The 18,075-nt window shown below is 36.1% G+C and overlaps 1 protein-coding gene across 1 annotated transcript in view; it reads right to left on the reverse strand.

Annotated features, from left to right (window-relative positions):
- USH2A (usherin) overlaps positions 1–18,075 on the reverse strand; it is an 800,558-nt gene that overhangs the window by 166,203 nt on the left and 616,280 nt on the right. Inside the window, exons 50-51 of the mRNA NM_206933.4 lie at positions 9,814–10,032; positions 966–1,189 (exon numbers count right to left, since the gene is read on the reverse strand). Of these exons, the coding sequence (NP_996816.3) occupies positions 966–1,189; positions 9,814–10,032 (443 nt within the window). The remainder of the gene's footprint in view (positions 1–965; positions 1,190–9,813; positions 10,033–18,075) is intronic.

The raw sequence follows: 18,075 nt of genomic DNA on the forward strand, positions 1-18,075 counted from the left end.
TCTTCAGAAAACAAAATGAAACCTACAGACTGAACATTATTATGTATACACACTACTTGATTCAGCATGGAGAAATATTGTCCTCATTAGAATAATTTAACCAACCTTATGTGTTATCTTAATCATTCATTGATACAAAGTGCTTGCAGGGCTTCTAACAATCTCATGAGTTATTTTACATCCCAAAGTGTACAAAGTGTATGTGGTCTACACAAGGACTGTGTAGTTGCCTCATTGAACAAGCGTCCTTCCATTGTCTGTGACCAAGACACCCATTTTTAGTGGTCTTATAATGACAAATTACTACAGAACACGGTAGCATGTTTATTTTTAAAGTGTCCATGGTCCTTTCCTTAAATTGATAGGCTTCTGGTATCCTGGGTCAAGTTTAATACCCACATACATGACATGGCTGTGTACAAACCATCACCATACAAAAACATAAGCGATTACACCCAGAAGCCTATTCATTCACTTTTGACACAGGCATTTGCTCATCTTGCATTGTCCAAGGGAATATGATATAAATGCAACTAAGCGAATTTGCTGGATCTAAGGTCTCTATCAAAGGAAAGTGGTGGATGATGGCTGGCGGGCTAGGGAGAAGAAGCGGGAATTTCCTCCTGCCTCCATCCACAGTGCTCCCAGGCATGAAATGGCACCATGCAGAGGCCCCAGACGACCTGTGCTGGCTCTTTCAGTGGCACACAGACTTTCAGTCCTGCACTAATCTGAAGTGCTGGGTAAAGCTTCCCTGAGAACAGCTAATCATTATTAATTCCTTTAGAATTCATTGCAATAACATCAATCATAGCGAACTCATTCGGTATTAATATGGATGTAATGTGAAAATGAATAATGCACACAGGAGTTTTTATATTCCTATTTTAGAAAAATAGTTATGAACAATGTATTTCTCTTTCCATTGTCAAATCAGCGCCTCCGAGAGCTTTTCTATCAATTACCTTCATCATCATTCCAGTTGAAATCTTGTCAGAGCAAACATATTTCAAAGGATTATATCCAACTCCATTACAGCATTTCTGGCTCTTTGGAATAAGTTCAGTCTCACAGCATTTTACTGGCACCGGGTCATTCTTTTTAATATGTGCTTTAGACTCTCCACTGGAAGCTGAGCAGCATATGGTATCTGACATATTCACATAATCCTGCCCACAACAGAACATACCTGCAACAATAAAATGTTATATATGAATATGAAATAGAAAAAGGGAAGAAAACTGAGGCTGCTATAAAGTTTGGTATAAAAATGTCAGGCTCAGGCAGTTGCTGAAATGGTGCAATACCTAAGGTAGCATTTCCCTACCAAGGTGATTTAAATGTGCAGTGAGGGTCCTTCTTACCAAGAGCACTAGACACTAATTAGGAAAAGAACACACAAGAGGAAATGTTCGAAAATCATTCAGCTGGGCCAAACTTCTCTCATGCTCCATAAAAAGAGATAGGATTTCTGTCATGAAAACTGCCTGCGCATTTTGTGATGATAACATCTTGTTGCAGAAGAAGGTTAGTTAAACTATAGGGACTCTGAGAAAGCTCTAGAAATTCATAAGGGAGAAAAGGTCACCCAAGTACTCTGGGATAAAAGCCCAGGCAGAGTGGAAAGGTAGCACCATCCTAGAACTGGAAGCCCTGCGGGAGAAGCAGTGCAAGTTTTGGCTTAGCTTTATTTAGGGTACAAATATTTGTTTCTTGTGAATTTAGCTGCAATGGTAACCATGTTTTCTGCATGAGATGGATTTGGTATTTATTCATAATCAGCTGAGCATGTTCACTGATCAGGTGCACTAATCAGCCACTATTTTTTGAGCCTCACTCTGTTCTAGACCCATCACAGACACAGGTGACAGGCTGGGGGCAGCCGCAGAAAGACCTTGTAGAGAGGATCACTGATCCCCACATCTAAACGAAAGACACACGTACCTGAGATACCAAATAGACATTTTCTCCCACCAAATTTAGTTTAATTACCTGCATTTGCATCATTTAGATATTGCCATCAAAGAGAAATGGCAGAAATTTTAACATTAAAGCAGGAATAAATTAACACTACTCTAGAGACAGATCAAGCTAGAAATCAAGGTGGCTATACTGCATGTCACAGTGTTTTTATATTAGAATTTATATCCAGTTATATAGCAGCACAATGTGATGAATGATTTATTTTAATTGGAATTTTGTTTGTTTATTATTAGTTCCGACTGATAACATAAAGAACCTCAAATTCAAAGTGCCCTGGGGTCCTGAATTGTTTAATCTGGTCCTGTGTAAACATCTACATTATTAAAGACACTCAAATAAAAGATCAAAAGTGCTTTTAAAAAAAATCATTGAAAGTAGACATTGGTTTGGCACATGCCTTAAGAAAGATGTTTATCCACACATGACTCCAAAGAACCCTCTCATTCATCTTTTTACTTACAAAAGTCTCTAATATTAAAAACTCTTATTTATGATTAATGATATACACTGATTCTAACAGAGCTTTGGCATACCATGTTTATCTAATGTGATAACTCTTCGAAGTAATTGGTTTACAAATTAACTGCTATATTTATAATTTTAGTGGTTTTAACATTTCTAGGAAAAGTTATCTCAAATTAATACAAAGAGCAGGGCTCATTTTAGTCTGAGTCTGGATTATGGTGGGTATATATGTGTGTATGTATAAGTACATACCCAAATACACATATTTATGTGTGTGTAGCTATGTATGTATGCATATGTATGTGTATATATACACACACAAATACATATAAATATATACATACATGAGTGTACACACACACATAAACTAAAAAGAAAAATCCGTAGCTTCAAGTTTTATATTGTTCGGGCATTTTTCTGCCCCTTCTGATTAGACATTTAAATACAACCATGGATTTTTTTACTGTTAATTTTTTCTCTGGCAGTTTTCTGAAGACAATTCATGTTTCTCTTTTAAAGAGCAATCAAAATTTGAAAACTGGCCCTTTAGGGAGCGGAATATATTCTCCCCCTCTCATTCCCAAATTACTTCATGGTTTCACTATGCTTTAAGTATAAAATAAAAATGCAGACATTGACCTAATTTGAAACTCCTAATCAGTCATCTGATCACTCTGAGGGACTTCTGACAGGTCAACTAAAATTTTGATAATGAACTGTTTTTAAACTAGAAAAAAAAGATGCCTTCTTTCACAAAGAGCTTCATCTTTGTATTACTGAATTGAAATTTTCAGCCAAGATTTCACTCACATAACAAGAAGTGACTCCCTTTTTAGATTCTTTGGTAAACCATTACTTCTTTAATTATTATCAACCTTGTTCCAGTGTGATAAATTGCTAATTACTTAATACCCTAATCAGCGTTCATTCTTTGCACAGATAAACTGTGACAGTGCCATTAATTTAAATAGTAATTTCACTTAATGGCCAGAACGGCACACCAGATTTTTATGCAGCATTTTCTGAAGACTGCATCCATCACTGCAATATTCTGACATAAAGATGTCTGACGTGCACTAACTCACTTAGGGAGAGCAGATGTTGCGGAGCAGAGTTTGGTAGTAATTCCCATAGTGCATCACTTCAGCATGAATGAGCTGCAAATTCAGAGACAGACAATCTTCCGAAACTGCATTGCAATAACTTTCGACCCCTACCTAATTTATCACATGTAGCACTTGACTTTTGAACTTTGACACACGGAATGCACGATTTTAAATATGCCCAAAGAAAAACAAAATAGGTCATGCATTATTGATGGATTGGTCCATTCTTCCAGAGCCTCTTCATTAAATTTGTACAAAAGGTGGAGTGTGTCTTTGAACAAAATGCAGATGTTAGTAAAGTGGTACAGTACACATTAAACTAGTAGGTGTTTATTTTTCAGATGAAAAAGCATATATTGTCTTTCTAAACTGTATATATATCCAATGGTTTCCATTGATTGGACACAACTGAGAAAATAGTGGAGGAAAAAATTTTTACTCACAATATTATTAATACTTCAAATATGTTACCAATGCTTATTTCATATCTATGTCTAAAAAGAAAAGCATTTATAAGCATATCTGTTGGATGAATTTCTAAATAGTTAAGACTGCAAAACTGGGATTCCACTTTTTTTTAAAGAAGACCAAGAATTATGTATCATGCCTTTGAGATAAAAATAGTATAGTAGTAAAATCCAGTCTGGAATATGACAAATCATTGTGAAACTCTGAGATTGTTCATGGGGACCAAATTTTAAGCCAAGGGATATTTTAGGCCTAGAAGAAAAAAAAGGTTTGTGATTAGTCATCCTTAGGACAAATGTATAACATTTGTGGCAGAGCATGAAAGAAAAGAAATTCACACTTGTCTTCACCAGTAGATGGCTCTGTGACTACCACCACAAAACAGAGGGTAGAGTAAAAATGCTCCCCAAATCATTGTGATACATTTTATAGCACTGATATATTACACTTTTCAAAAAAAAAATCATTCTGTTTTATGGAAATCTTCCAGGGAAATGTTTTTTCAATGCCACCCTTACACCATGGACTTCTGTAATTATACTTCCCTCTGCAAAATTCCCAAATTCCCATCTTATGAAACAAACAGCGATAGTCATTTGTTCTACTGAAGTCAGAGTCCAGGACATGAAAACTCAGTCTTGTATTCTGAAACAATTTCAACTCAGAGTTTCACATCAAAGGCCGCATGGACAAAGTTTATAATATAAATAAGTCAATATATTCCAAAGTCATCTCATGATCAGTTTCCCATGGCTAATAGAAAAATCTGTCCTCTTTGAATGAAACGGAGGTTTTAATTTTTCACCTTTTCATACTAAGGGATATAATCAAGTCCAATCCAAGATTAATGGCATAAATGATAAAGCTATATAAGCAAACACTAAGAAAAAAATGAGTAATAAATAGGTTTAAAATCTATTCAAAGAAAATGGCTAAGAATACATATCCACTGAAATGACACGCATGACTTTCATCCCGAGATACCTGTATAACACTTCTACACAACGCATCTGCCCAGAGAGAGCACTAAAAACATAAACGCCACCCCAGCACTTCTGTTCCAACAGCATCTGTTAATTCACTCCATTTATAAAATACATATTGACAAAGACAACTGAACTGGGACCAGGGAGATTTGATTTGGTGTGAGAAAGTCAATTCAATGTGATTTTGTTAAAGGGCTCCTGCAGGCAAATAAAAGAGTTTAAGTAATAAAGTACATAAAGAGATGTTTTACGAGCCAGCCCGGTCTCGTGGCAGGCACACAATGCCAGGCAGCGAGAGAGGCCAGGCTTAGGAACGATATTATGAGATCCAAACACTTATGTAGCAGGTATGCTGTTTGTTGCTAGGTTGAGGAGAAAAAGGGCCATATGGATATTCTGGAAGGTCATTAAGGTCACAGTCATTAGGGGCTACAGGAGTGAACGGCAGCAGAGAGAGGAAAAATACATGTGGAATCTGTCTATTTTCAGTGCAACCTGCAGAAAGAAAGTCAAGAGAATAAAAAGATATATTTTTTCCTTTGTAAAACTATTATTCCTTAAGTCCACTATGATTATCAGAGTTGGCAGAGCTGTAGAATGCCATGAGAAACTCTAGAGCTTATCTTGATTCGCAAGAGTTGAGGGCTGTCACCATTTGTGTAAGAAATGTTTGACTGGCATGCGACATCATCTTGGAGTAAATAAAGAAGTGATTCTGAAATTTGAGTTCATGGATGGAGTTCAAGGGTGGATAAAATTACAGGCAAATTTTTGTGTATATTCCATGCACTATTATTCAGAGTGAGGGTTTGTAACTTCCAAAAGATTCAAAAGGAAAACAAGTTAAGAACCATTGTCCTAGTGGACGGTAACCTCCATTCCACTTCTTAGAACAGATGTATTTTACTTCATGCCAGGGGTGTTCTGACTTCTCTTTCCTTCTCTATTGTATTTGTTCTGACACCTAAATTTAATCTTAAACTACAGTTCTTATCATCATATTGACTCTTCCCTGAGTGCTAAATAATGTTCAAATCCTTTTGCCTACTCAGATTTATCTCCTTTCTTCCTTACACAGAGTGTATACCTCCTGTAAACCAAAGCACACGCTATTATTTGTGTTTTGCAGATTGCTAATTTCACAGTTTAGCTCAAGCCACACCTGCCAAAATCATACTCACTGTTTGAGATTCCAATCCAATGGAACAACCCCCTTCATTACCTTGACTGGAGTGATCTCTCCGTCTTAAGAATATGCATGCATTCATCCCTCTCTTATGGTCTGTGTATAACCTTGTAGGCACTTTTCTCCTTGATTAGGTTGTAAGTTCTTGAGGATAAAAACGGAATCTTGGCCATTTTTACACTTGCAAAGCACCAAGAATGATGTCTTGAATATGGTTACTACATAATACATATTTAACAAAGGACGGAGTATAGCAGTTGACTAATTCTTTTAAAAAGCTACAGATGAACAAACACACTAAAATCAAATATTTTGCTGTCATTTTTAAACTCTGATGTATTAGAGTACACAGGAGGTAACACTTTTGCACCCTCCCTGCCACCTTGGTTCTATCTTTAATAGACCTGTTATTAGCTACTTCATCTAAAGGAGGAGGAGGTATTCAACTGGTTAGTCATAGTACAGGATAACTAATTAGTTGCCATAATTTTCTAGTAGACGTTACTATGACTTTAAGCAGTGGTTCTCAAATTATGGTCTCAGGATCCTTTTATACGCTTACGAATTATTGAGGACCCCAAATACCTTTTGTTTATATGGGTTTTACCTGTTGATATGTACTGTGTTAAAACTTACGGCAGAAATTTTTGAAATATTTATTAATGCATTTAGACATAAAATAATAAATCTATAACATTCTAACATATTTATGAAAATAAATGTTTTTCAAATAAAAAATAGAAGAATGACATTGTGTTATATTTTTGCAAGCTTTTTAAATGTTTAGTTAAGAGAAGTCAATTTAATTTTCTTTCTGAGTCTGCATTCGATCTGTTGCAAATCATGCCATGTAACATCTGAAAAGCTCTGCTGTACACATAGGAGAGAATAAGAGTTAAAAAGGCATATAGTAGTTTAGTATCACAGGCTTACTTCACGTTATTGTGCTTTGATTTACTGCACTTTGCAGAGACTGCATTTTTTTACAAATTGAAGTTTTGTGGCCACCCTGCATCAAGAAGTCTATTGGTGCCAATTTTCCAATAGCACGTGTTCGCTTCGTGTCTCTGTCACATTTTGATGATTCTCACAATATTTTAAACTTTTTCATTATTATTATATTTGTTATATTTTTATATTTTTAATTTTTATATTTTATATTTATATTTGTGGTCAATGACCTTTGATGTTACTATGGTAATTGTTTTAGCGTGTCATGAACCTTGCCCATATAAGACGGAAAGCTTAGTTGATGAGCGTCCTGTGTGTTCTGACTGTTTCACAGACCAGCCGTTCCTTTATCTTTCTCCCTCTCCTCAGGCCTTCCTATTCTCTGAGGCACAGCAATATTAAAATTAGGCCAATTAATTACCTTACAATAGCCTCTAAGTGTTCAAGTGAAAGGAAGAGTCTCATGTCTCTCACTTTAAATCAAAAGCTAGGAATGATTAAGCTTATTGAGGAAGGCATGTGGAAAGCCAAGACAGGCCAAAAACTAGACCTCTCATGCCCAACAGTTAGCCCAGTTATGCATGCAAAGGAACAGTTCTTGAAGAAAATCAAAATGCTCCTCTTCCTCCCACACCTTCAACAGACCTTCTTCTCTTTTCTGTACCATTCCTTCTTGAACATATCTTTTCCCCTGGACAGTATCTCTTTATTATATCTTATAAGGTATGTGAGAATGATGACAAATCTTGTGGGTCTTATGGCCTTCAACCGTGGTCCAGGTAAGATTTCTATTTCACTTATCATTCACTTATGAATAAGTGAAACAGCCTTATTGCTGATATGAAGACACTTTGAGTGGTCTGGATAGAAGATCAAATCAGTCACAATAGTCCCTTAGGCCAAAGCCTAGTCCAGGCAAGGCTCTTACTCTCTTTAATTCTATGAAGGCTGAGAGAGATGAGGAAGCTGCAGAAGAATAGATGAAAGCTAACAGAAGTTGGTTCATGAGGTTTAAGAAAAAAAGCCATCTTCATAACATAAAAGTGCAAGGTGAAGCAGCAAGTGCTGATGTAGAAACTGCTGCCTCAAGTTACCCAGAACACCTAGGTAAGATCACTGATGAAGGTGGCTACACTAAACAACAGATCTTCATTGTAGATGAAATAGCCTTGTACTGGAAGAAGATGCCAACTAGAGCTTTCATAGGTAGAGGGAAAAAGTCAACGCCTGGTTTCAAAGTTTCAAAGGACAGGTTGACTCTCCTGCTGGGGGGCTAAAGCAGCTGGTGACTTTAAGTGGAAGCCCATGCTCATTGACCACTGCAAAAACTCTAGGGCCCTTAATAATTATGCTAAATCTATTCTGCTTGTGCTTGTAAATGGAACAAAAAGGCTGTATGATTACATATCTGTTTACAATATGGTTTACTATGTATTTTAAGCTCATTATTGAGACCTACTGCTCAGAAAAAAGATATTTCTTTTAAAATATTAATACTCACTGACAATTCATCTGGTCACTCAAGAGCTCTGATGGAAATAGACAAGAAAATTAATGTTTACATGCCTATTAACACAGCATAGGTCAAGTAGTCATTTTGACTTTCCAGTTTTATTATTTAAAAATACATTTTGTAAGGCTATAGCTGCCATAGATAGTAATTCCTCTGATGGATCTGGACAAAGTAAATTGAAAACCTGGAAAGGATTCACCATTCTAGATGCAATTAAGAATATTCATGATTCATGGGAAGAAGTCAAAATATCAACATTAACAGGAGTTTAGAGGAAGTTGATTCCAACCCTCATGGATGACTAAGGGGTTTTAGACTCAAAATGGGAAAAATAACTGCAGATGCAGTGGAAATAGCAAGAGAACTGGAATGAGAAGTGAAGCCTGAAGAGGTAACTGAATTGCTGCAATCATAAAACTAACAGATGAGGAGTTGCTTCTTAGGGAGGAGCAAAGAAAGTGGCTTCTTGAGATGGAATCTATGCCTGGTGAAGATACTGTGAACATTAACTTCATATTTTAATTTTCTTGTCTTTAAAAGCCCCACCTCCAATAACATAAATGTCAGGCTTCCCAAAATCTGGATCTGACTGTGTGGTATTTAGCAAGATAATGTCTAATATCTAATGTCTGAACTTCAGTTTCTTCATTTTTAAAATGCAGATAATTGATAGTACCTATCATGTAAGATTATTGTGAAGATTATTTGAGGTAATAATATATAAAATATTGGCACAGTGTCTGTTAGTATTCATTCAATGATACTTATTGTTATTTATATTAGTGTTAGCTTAATACAGTAGAATAAGGGAGTAAAAGAATTATAACAAAATATCATTATAATAATTTTGTATACTATTTGCTAGGAAATATTCTTTTCATTCATAACCAATGCATTCATGTGTGGAATTTTTTTTGGAGGACATGACCTTTTCAAGAGGAAAAAAAATTGATGCGTTTTTATGAAATACATGAGATACATGTAAAAATTGGGAGATTACATTGTTATGTGTTAAACAATATGTTCCTAATTATTGCATTAGATATAACCAATGTGAGCTTTAATTACTTATTTGTTTTATTTCTAGGGCAAATTTCTCACTCTCTCTGCTTCTCAGATCCTCCATCTACTGAAAGGTAGACCTGGGCCCCTTACCTGGAAGGCGATTGTACACCACTCCTTCTTCTCCACCACAACACTCTAAATCGTTGCTCACAATCTGTCTGCCACAGCACTTCTGGCCATGGCCATCATGAAGCCTCCCAGCACAGCAAATCTGGTTTCCTGAGGTGGAGTACGGCATTCTGCCACAGCAGGAATCACCAATGCCAACAGAAACCCGATTGTGCTGTTCATCTGGACAGCATACTTCACCTGTCAATTTAGGACAATAATAATCATTACATCAGTTAAAAAAATATGCTATGACTAACAATTAACTTTTATCACAATCATCTTGCAGATCCCAACTGATTGACAGAATTACTAAAGAGAATAATATCATATTGGAGTTGCAAAATTTCCAAATGACTCCAAAGTTTTTGTGTATAAACGTGTGTCAGATCAGATACACACATGGCAACTTACAGGTAAGTCTATGTTGTCTATTTCCTCACCATCAGGTCTGGTGACATGGACTATGTGGCATTATAGAAAAACATCTAGGAATACTTTTTTGTTCTGTGTAATTTTCTTTTGGAACGTAGAGTGGATTCAAAAACCAACTATTGATAAATTTATATTGCTTATGACTATAATTTCCTTGACCAAACTATATTTGTTCAACCAAACAAAATACTCCCATTGGGAAGGTTAATTACATGAGAGGAGGTAAAAAATACTGTATTTAAGTCAGTGTGCTAGTACTTCTCTGGGCTATGTCACACACTGAATTTTACTACATTTCTCTTCACATGACAGTCTGGGAAATTTGGGATAAGAATAAGATAATCCACCAGGTGTGGTGCTTTACACCTGTAATCCCAACACTTTGGGAGGCCTAGGTGGGTGGATAACTTGAGGCCAGGAGTTCAAGACCAGCCTGGCCAACATGGTGAAACCCCATCTCTACTAAAAATAAAAAAATTATCCAGGCTTGGTGGTGCATGCCTGTAGTCCCACCTACTCGAGAGGCTGAGGCACGAGAATTGCTTGAACCCGGGAGGCGGGAGGCAGAGTGCGCAGTGAGCCAGGATTGTTTCACTGCACTCCAGCCTGGGCATATCTAAAAAACAAAAACAAACAAACAAAAAAAACAAAAAACAGAATTAGATAATCTTTTGCCTGGTACCTTAAAATCAAAGGACTCAAATACTCTAAATACCAAGAGTTAGCTTGTTTGTTTGTTTGGTATAAAGACAACTCTAAAGGACAGAAGATTTTGTAAATGGCTTCCCTTAAGGATACCTTCAAAAGAACTAATAAAAACTTGGTGGATCTGAAATCCAAGCTTCATTTCTCTTCTCTATCTCATGACCCCACTGTGGTTGTCTTCCCTCGTGGCCTTCGGAACCCTGACTTCCTTCTCTCTTTTGTCCTGCTCCTCCTCTTCTTCCTACACCTTCAACAGACCTTCTTCCCTTTTCTCTACCGTTCTTTCTTGAACATATCTTTTCCCCTGGACAACATCTCTTCATTATATCTTATAAGGTATGTGAGTATGATGACCAATCTGATGGGTCTTATGGCCTTCAACCATGGTCCAGGTAAGATTTCTATAATCCAATTAATGACTTGTCAAGCTTTCTTAAGAAATGGCACAAATCCACTGAAGAATTTAGGACTGCCTTAGGGATTTATAGTCCTGGACTTCTTCTCAATTAGTTCACCTTTTGGTGAGCCCTGGATATCCTAAAATTTGTTTAGTAAAAGCAAGATGTACTGTTTACCAAAATGATATAAAAATATGGGACAATATTTAATTAAACATAGATATATAAGGAGTATAAATAATAAGACAATAACTCTCAGCAGCTATCCTTGAGATCTTTTCTTTCCAAATTTATTGGCCAAAAATCCATCTCACTAGATGAAATGAGCAAATTACTAGAAACATACAACTTACCAAAGAAACCACAAGAAAAAAGTTAAAATCAATAGCTCTCATGAATATTGATGCAAAAATCTTCAACAAAATACTAGCAAACTGAATTCAAAAGCACATCAAAATGATTCTGCAACATGACCAAGCGGGATATATCCCTGGAATACCAGGATGGGTCAATATATGAAAATTTAATCAATGTAACACATTATATCAATAGAACAAAGGGGAAAAAAAAGAAACACATGATTATCTCAGTTGATGTAGAACAAATATTTGACAAAATTCAATCTCTTTCATTATAAATCCACTCAAGAAAATAGGAATAGATGAAAACTACTTCAACATAATCAAGAGTATATGAGAAAAACCTATACCTAATGTCATACTCAACAGTGAAAGACGGAAAACTTTTCCTCTAAAATCAGAAACAAGAAAAGGTTGCCACCCTTTGCCACTTGTATTCTACATAATATTGGATATTATGGCTAGAGCAATAGGCAAGAGAAAAAAATAAAAGGCATCTAAATTGAAAGGGAAGAAGCAAAACTATGTGTTCTCAGACAACATGATATCATATAGAGAAAACTATAAAGATTCTAAAAAAAAAAAAAACCTGTTACAACTAATAAACAATTCAGCACAGTATCAAGATACAAAGTCAGCATAGAAAAACTAGGTATGTTTCTATACACTAAGAATGAACAACATGAAAATAAAATTAATAAGATAATTTCATTTACAATAACATCAAAAAAAGAAAGACTTAAGAATGAGCTTACCAAGAAAGCGAAAGACTGAAATACTACAAAATGTTGTTGAAAGAAATTAAAGAAGATAACCAAATGGAAGAACATCCCATGTTTATGGACTGGGAGCCTTAATGTTGTTAAGGTGCCAGTACTGCTCAAGTGATCTACAGAATCAATTCAATCCCTATCAAAATCCCAATGCTTTTTGCAGAAGCAGAAGAAGCCATTATAAAATTCACATGGAATCTCAAAAAACTGCAAATAGTCAAAACAACATTGAAAAAGAACAAAGTTGGAGATCTCCCACTTTCTGATTTCAAAACTTACTACAAAGTTACAGTAATCAAAAGTGTGTTACTGGTACAAAGACAGACACATAGACCAATGGGATAGAACAGAGATCCTAAAAATGAACCCTTGCATATATGGGCAAATGATTTTCAACAAAAGTGCCAAGACCATTTAATGAGGAAAGGACCTTTTTTTTTTTTTAAAGAATGTTGGAAAAGTTGAATATCCACATGCCAAAGAATGATATTGAACCCTTACTTTATACCATATACCAAAACTAACTCAAAATGGATCAAAGATCTAGATGTAAAAGCTAAAACTTACAATTCTTAGACGAAAGCAAAGGGGAAATTTCATGACATTGGGTCTGCCAATGATTTCTTGGCTATGACACTGAAAGCAGAAGCAATAAGGAAAAAAGATGAATTGGATTCATCATAATTAATATTAATAACTTTTTGGCATCAAAGAACACTGTCAACAAAGTGAAAAGGCAACTCATGAGAAAATATATTAAAATTATATATCTGATAAGGAAGTAGTATCCAGAATGTATAAAGAACTTCTATAACTCAAAAACATGAAACAAAGACCTTATTTTTTAAATGGGCAAATAACTTTAATAGACACTTTTTTCCAAAGAAGACATACAAATAGCCAATAAACACATGAAAATATACTCAATATTAGTAATAAGTAGGGAAATGCAAATCAAAACCACAATGAGATACCACTTGATACTCATTAGGATAGTTATAAAAAACATAAAATAATAAACAGTAAGAATATGGAGAAATTGGCACACTTATGCGTTGTTGGGAATATAAAATGTTAAAATGTTCCACAAAACAGTATGGCAGTTCTTAACATGAAAATTAAACATAGAATTACCATATGATCCAGCAATTCCACTTCTGGGTATAAACCCAAAAGAATTGAAAACAGGAGATTGAACAGAAATTTGTACATTTCTACATCAATGTTTATGGCAGCTTTAACCATAATAGTCACTAGGCAGAAATAACCCCAATGTCCGCTGATGAATAAATGAATACAAAAGTGTTATATACATACAATGAGACATTATTCGACCTTAAAAAGGAATAAAATCCTGACACGTACGACAACATGAATGGGAACATACACAAATCAATAAACATAATCCAGCATATAAACAGAACCAGCGACAAAAACCACATGATTATGTCAATAGATGCAGAAAAGGCCTTTGACAAAATTCAACAACGCTTCATGCTAAAAACTCTCAATAAATTAGGTATTGATGGGATGTATCTCAAAATAATAAGAGCTATCTATGACAAACCCACAACCAATATCATACTGAATGGGCAAAAACTGGAAGCATTCCCTTTGAAAACGGGCACAAGACAGGGATGCCCTCTCTCACCACTCCTATTCAACATAGGGTTGGAAGTTCTGGCCAGGGCAACCAGGCAGGAGAAGGAAATAAAAGGTATTCAATTAGGAAAAGAGGAAGTCAAATTGTCCCTGTTTGCAGATGACATGATTGTATATCTAGAAAACCCCATCATCTCAGCCCAAAATCTCCTTAAGCTGATAGGCAACTTCAGCAAAGCCTCAGGATACAACATCAATGTGCAAAAATCACAAGCATTCTTATACACCAATAACAGACAAGTAGAGAGCCAAATCATGAGTGAACTCCCATTCACAATTGCTTCAAAGAGAATAAAATACCTAGGAATCCAACTTACAAGGGATGTGAAGGACCTCTTCAAGGAGAACTACAAAGCACTGCTCAATGAAATAAAAGAGGATACAAACAAATGGAAGAACATTCCATGCTCATGGGTAGGAAGAATCAATATCACGAAAATGGCCATACCGCCCAAGGTAATTTACAGATTCAATGCCATCCCCATCAAGCTACCAATGACTTTCTTCACAGAATTGGAAAAAACTACTTTAAAATTCATATGGACCCAAAAAAGAGCCCACACTGCCAAGTCAATCCTAAGCCAAAAGAAAAAAGCTGGAGGCATCACGCTACCTGACTTCAAACTAGACTACAAGGCTACAGTAACCAAAACAGCATGGTACTGGTACCAAAACAGAGATATAAACCAAAGGAACAGAACAGAGCCCTCAGAAATAATGCCACATATCTACAACTATCTGATCTTTGACAAACCTGACAAAAACAAGAAATGGGAAAAGGATTCCCTATTTAATAAATGGTGCTGGGAAAACTGGCTAGCCATATGTAGAAAGCTGAAACTGGATCCCTTCCTTACACCTTATACAAAAATCAATTCAAGATGGATCAAAGACTTAAATGTTAGACCTAAAACCATAAAAACCCTAGAAGAAAACCTAGGCAATACCATTCAGGACATAGGCATGGGCAAGGACTTCATGTCTAAAACACCAAAAGCAATGGCAACAAAAGCCAAAATTGACAAATGGGATCTAATTAAACTCAAGAGCTTCTGCACAGCAAAAAAAACTACCATCAGAGTGAACAGGCAACCTACAGAATGGGAGAAAACTTTTGCAATCTACTCATCTGACAAAGGGCTAATATCCAGAATCTACAATGAACTCAAACAAATTTACAAGAAAAAACAAACAACCCCATCAAAAAGTGGGTGAAGGATATGAACAGACACTTCTCAAAAGAAGACATTTATGCAGACAAAAGATACATGAAAAAATGCTCATCATCACTGGGCATCAGAGAAATGCAAGTCAAAACCACAATGAGATACTATCTCACACCAGTTAGAATGGCGATCATTAAAAAGTCAGGAAACAACAGGTGCTGGAGAGGATGTGGAGAAATAGGAACACTTTCACACTGTTAGTGGGACTGTAAACTAGTTCAACCATTGTGGAAGTCAGTGTGGCGATTCCTCAGGGATCTTGAACTAGAAATACCATTTGACCCAGCCATCCCATTACTGGGTACATACTCAAAGGATTGTAAATCATGCTGCTATAAAGACACATGCACACGTATGTTTATTGCGGCACTATTCACAATAGCAAAGACTTGGAACCAACCCAAATGTCCAACAATGATAGACAGGATTAAGAAAATGTGGCACATATACACCATGGAATACTATGCAGCCATAAAAAATGATGAGTTCATGTTCTTTGTAGGGACATGGATGAAGCTGGAAACCGTCATTCTCGGCAAACTATCGCAAGGACAAAGAACCAAACACCGTATGTTGTCACTCATAGGTGGGAATTGAACAATGAGAACACATGGACACAGGAAGGGGAACATTACACACAGGGGCCTGTTGTGGGGTGGGGAGATGGGGGAGGGATAGGATTAGGAGATATACCTAATGTTAAATGACGAGTTAATGGGTGCAACATACCAACATGGCACATGTATATATATGTAACTAACCTGCACGTTGTGCACATGTACCCTAAAACTTAAAGTATAATAAAAAAAAAAGAAAGAAAATGCACTAAGTGAAATAAGCCAGACACAAAAAGACAAATATTGTATGATTCCAATTATATTAGGTACCTAGAGTAGTCAAATTCATAGAGACCAAAAACAGAATGGTGGTTTCCAGGGGTTGAAGATAACAGGGAGTGGAAAGTTAGTGCTTAATGGAAACAGAGTCTGAGCTTGAGAAGATAAAAGAGCTCTAGAGATGGATGGTGGTAATGATTGTACAACAATGCAAATGCACTCAATGCCACTGAATTGTGTGCTTAAAAAATGGTTAAAATGATAAATTTTATGTGGTGTATACTTTACCACAAAAAAGTCCTGTAAACAAGGAAAAAATAAATCCATGCCTGGCTTCAGAGATCACTTAACTACCACCTTCCAGAATACTCTAAAGATCAGTGAAGAAGGTATCATAACTTCCCATAAAACAGAAGATAAGACAGTAGATTGTCCCTTCCTTCTAAATTACAAGAGCTTGCTAAGCACTTAGAAGATACTTTGGCTCAGAAAAAAAGAAAAAAAATTCAGACCACATTAACAGCTTTTGGGATTAAGCAATTAGATAAAGCCAAGAATGAGGGCACCTCTATGTCTAGTCTGCACAAAAACAACTTTCAATATTGTAAGGGACACTGGGAGAACACCTACTTTGCCTTTATTAGTGTATCTTAGAAAGACACAATCAAAAAAAAAAAAAAAAAAGGACAAACTGACAAAACAGCACCTCTCTGTGAAAGTAGCTGCTCTCATCTATCCATAACTGCCCTTGACATAGAAAGTGAGAAATTTCTATGCAATTGTAAAAATAGAAGATTGATACTGGTGGTAGGTATATTATCTATCAAAAACCCTTCTAATTTTCCATTATCCCTTTCTAGGAATAACCAAATGTCTCAGCGGTACACATATCAAATAATTTTCAGATTCTGCCTTTATTTTTCTTTTCTTTCTCTTGAATCAACATATTTTTTGTTTAGTAATTCCACTTCAGTGCATCTGTTGAGAAGAGATCCACTTTGTAAATGAGATACCAGCATTAAATGTGCACCTGAAAGTCTCTTTCTGTAACTCCCAGGAGAAGAATGCCTGGCCTATAATTTGGTGGTAGCACCAGCTAATTACCTGATGCCTTTGTTATCAACATCTCTGACTTTGAATGTGTCTCCAAGATCCTCTGGGGCAAAAACTGCTCAGATGTGGGATTCATACAGGATGCTAACCCCTTAAAGATGTCTATCAATCTGGCTATGCATTTCTTGAAACTGTCCCAAAATCTACTAAAAAGAACAATATTTAATAACTTGGTCCATTGTATCTACATACCTCTAGAAAGTTACCTCGCTTGGCATAACACCCCATTATCCCCTGTACCAGTCCTTGTAGTTCACTGTTCACTCTATCAAAATGATAAAAGACTTGTGTACCACTTTGTACAAGATTTAAGTGTCATTAACAAGATTGCACTCCCCCATTTCCCTGTAGTTCCCAACCCTAATATCATCCTACTGCCACTCCCTGAGGCAGCTGCTTAATTTATAGCAAATCTATACTTAGCATTTTTTTCATATATTCTTGCACTCAGGCTCACAGTATCTTTTTTTGTTTCACTTGTGACAGTTATTCCCCAAGAGTTTACGACAATGCTTTCTTAATTCTCACAACTGCTTAACCATTACCTTACCATGGTAAGCACAACATGGCCTCCCTAAGATGTCCACATCCTAATCCCTGGAACCTGTGACTATGTTATGTTACATGGCAAAGGGGAATGAAGACAACAGATGTGATTAAGTTTAATAATATGAAGTGAGAAAGGCTCAACTGGTCATTGCTGGCCTGGAAAATGGAAGGGGTCCACAAGCCAAAGA

Source organism: Homo sapiens, chromosome 1 (assembly GCF_000001405.40).
Source record: "Homo sapiens chromosome 1, GRCh38.p14 Primary Assembly".
NCBI classification, from domain to species: Eukaryota; Metazoa; Chordata; class Mammalia; order Primates; family Hominidae; genus Homo; species Homo sapiens.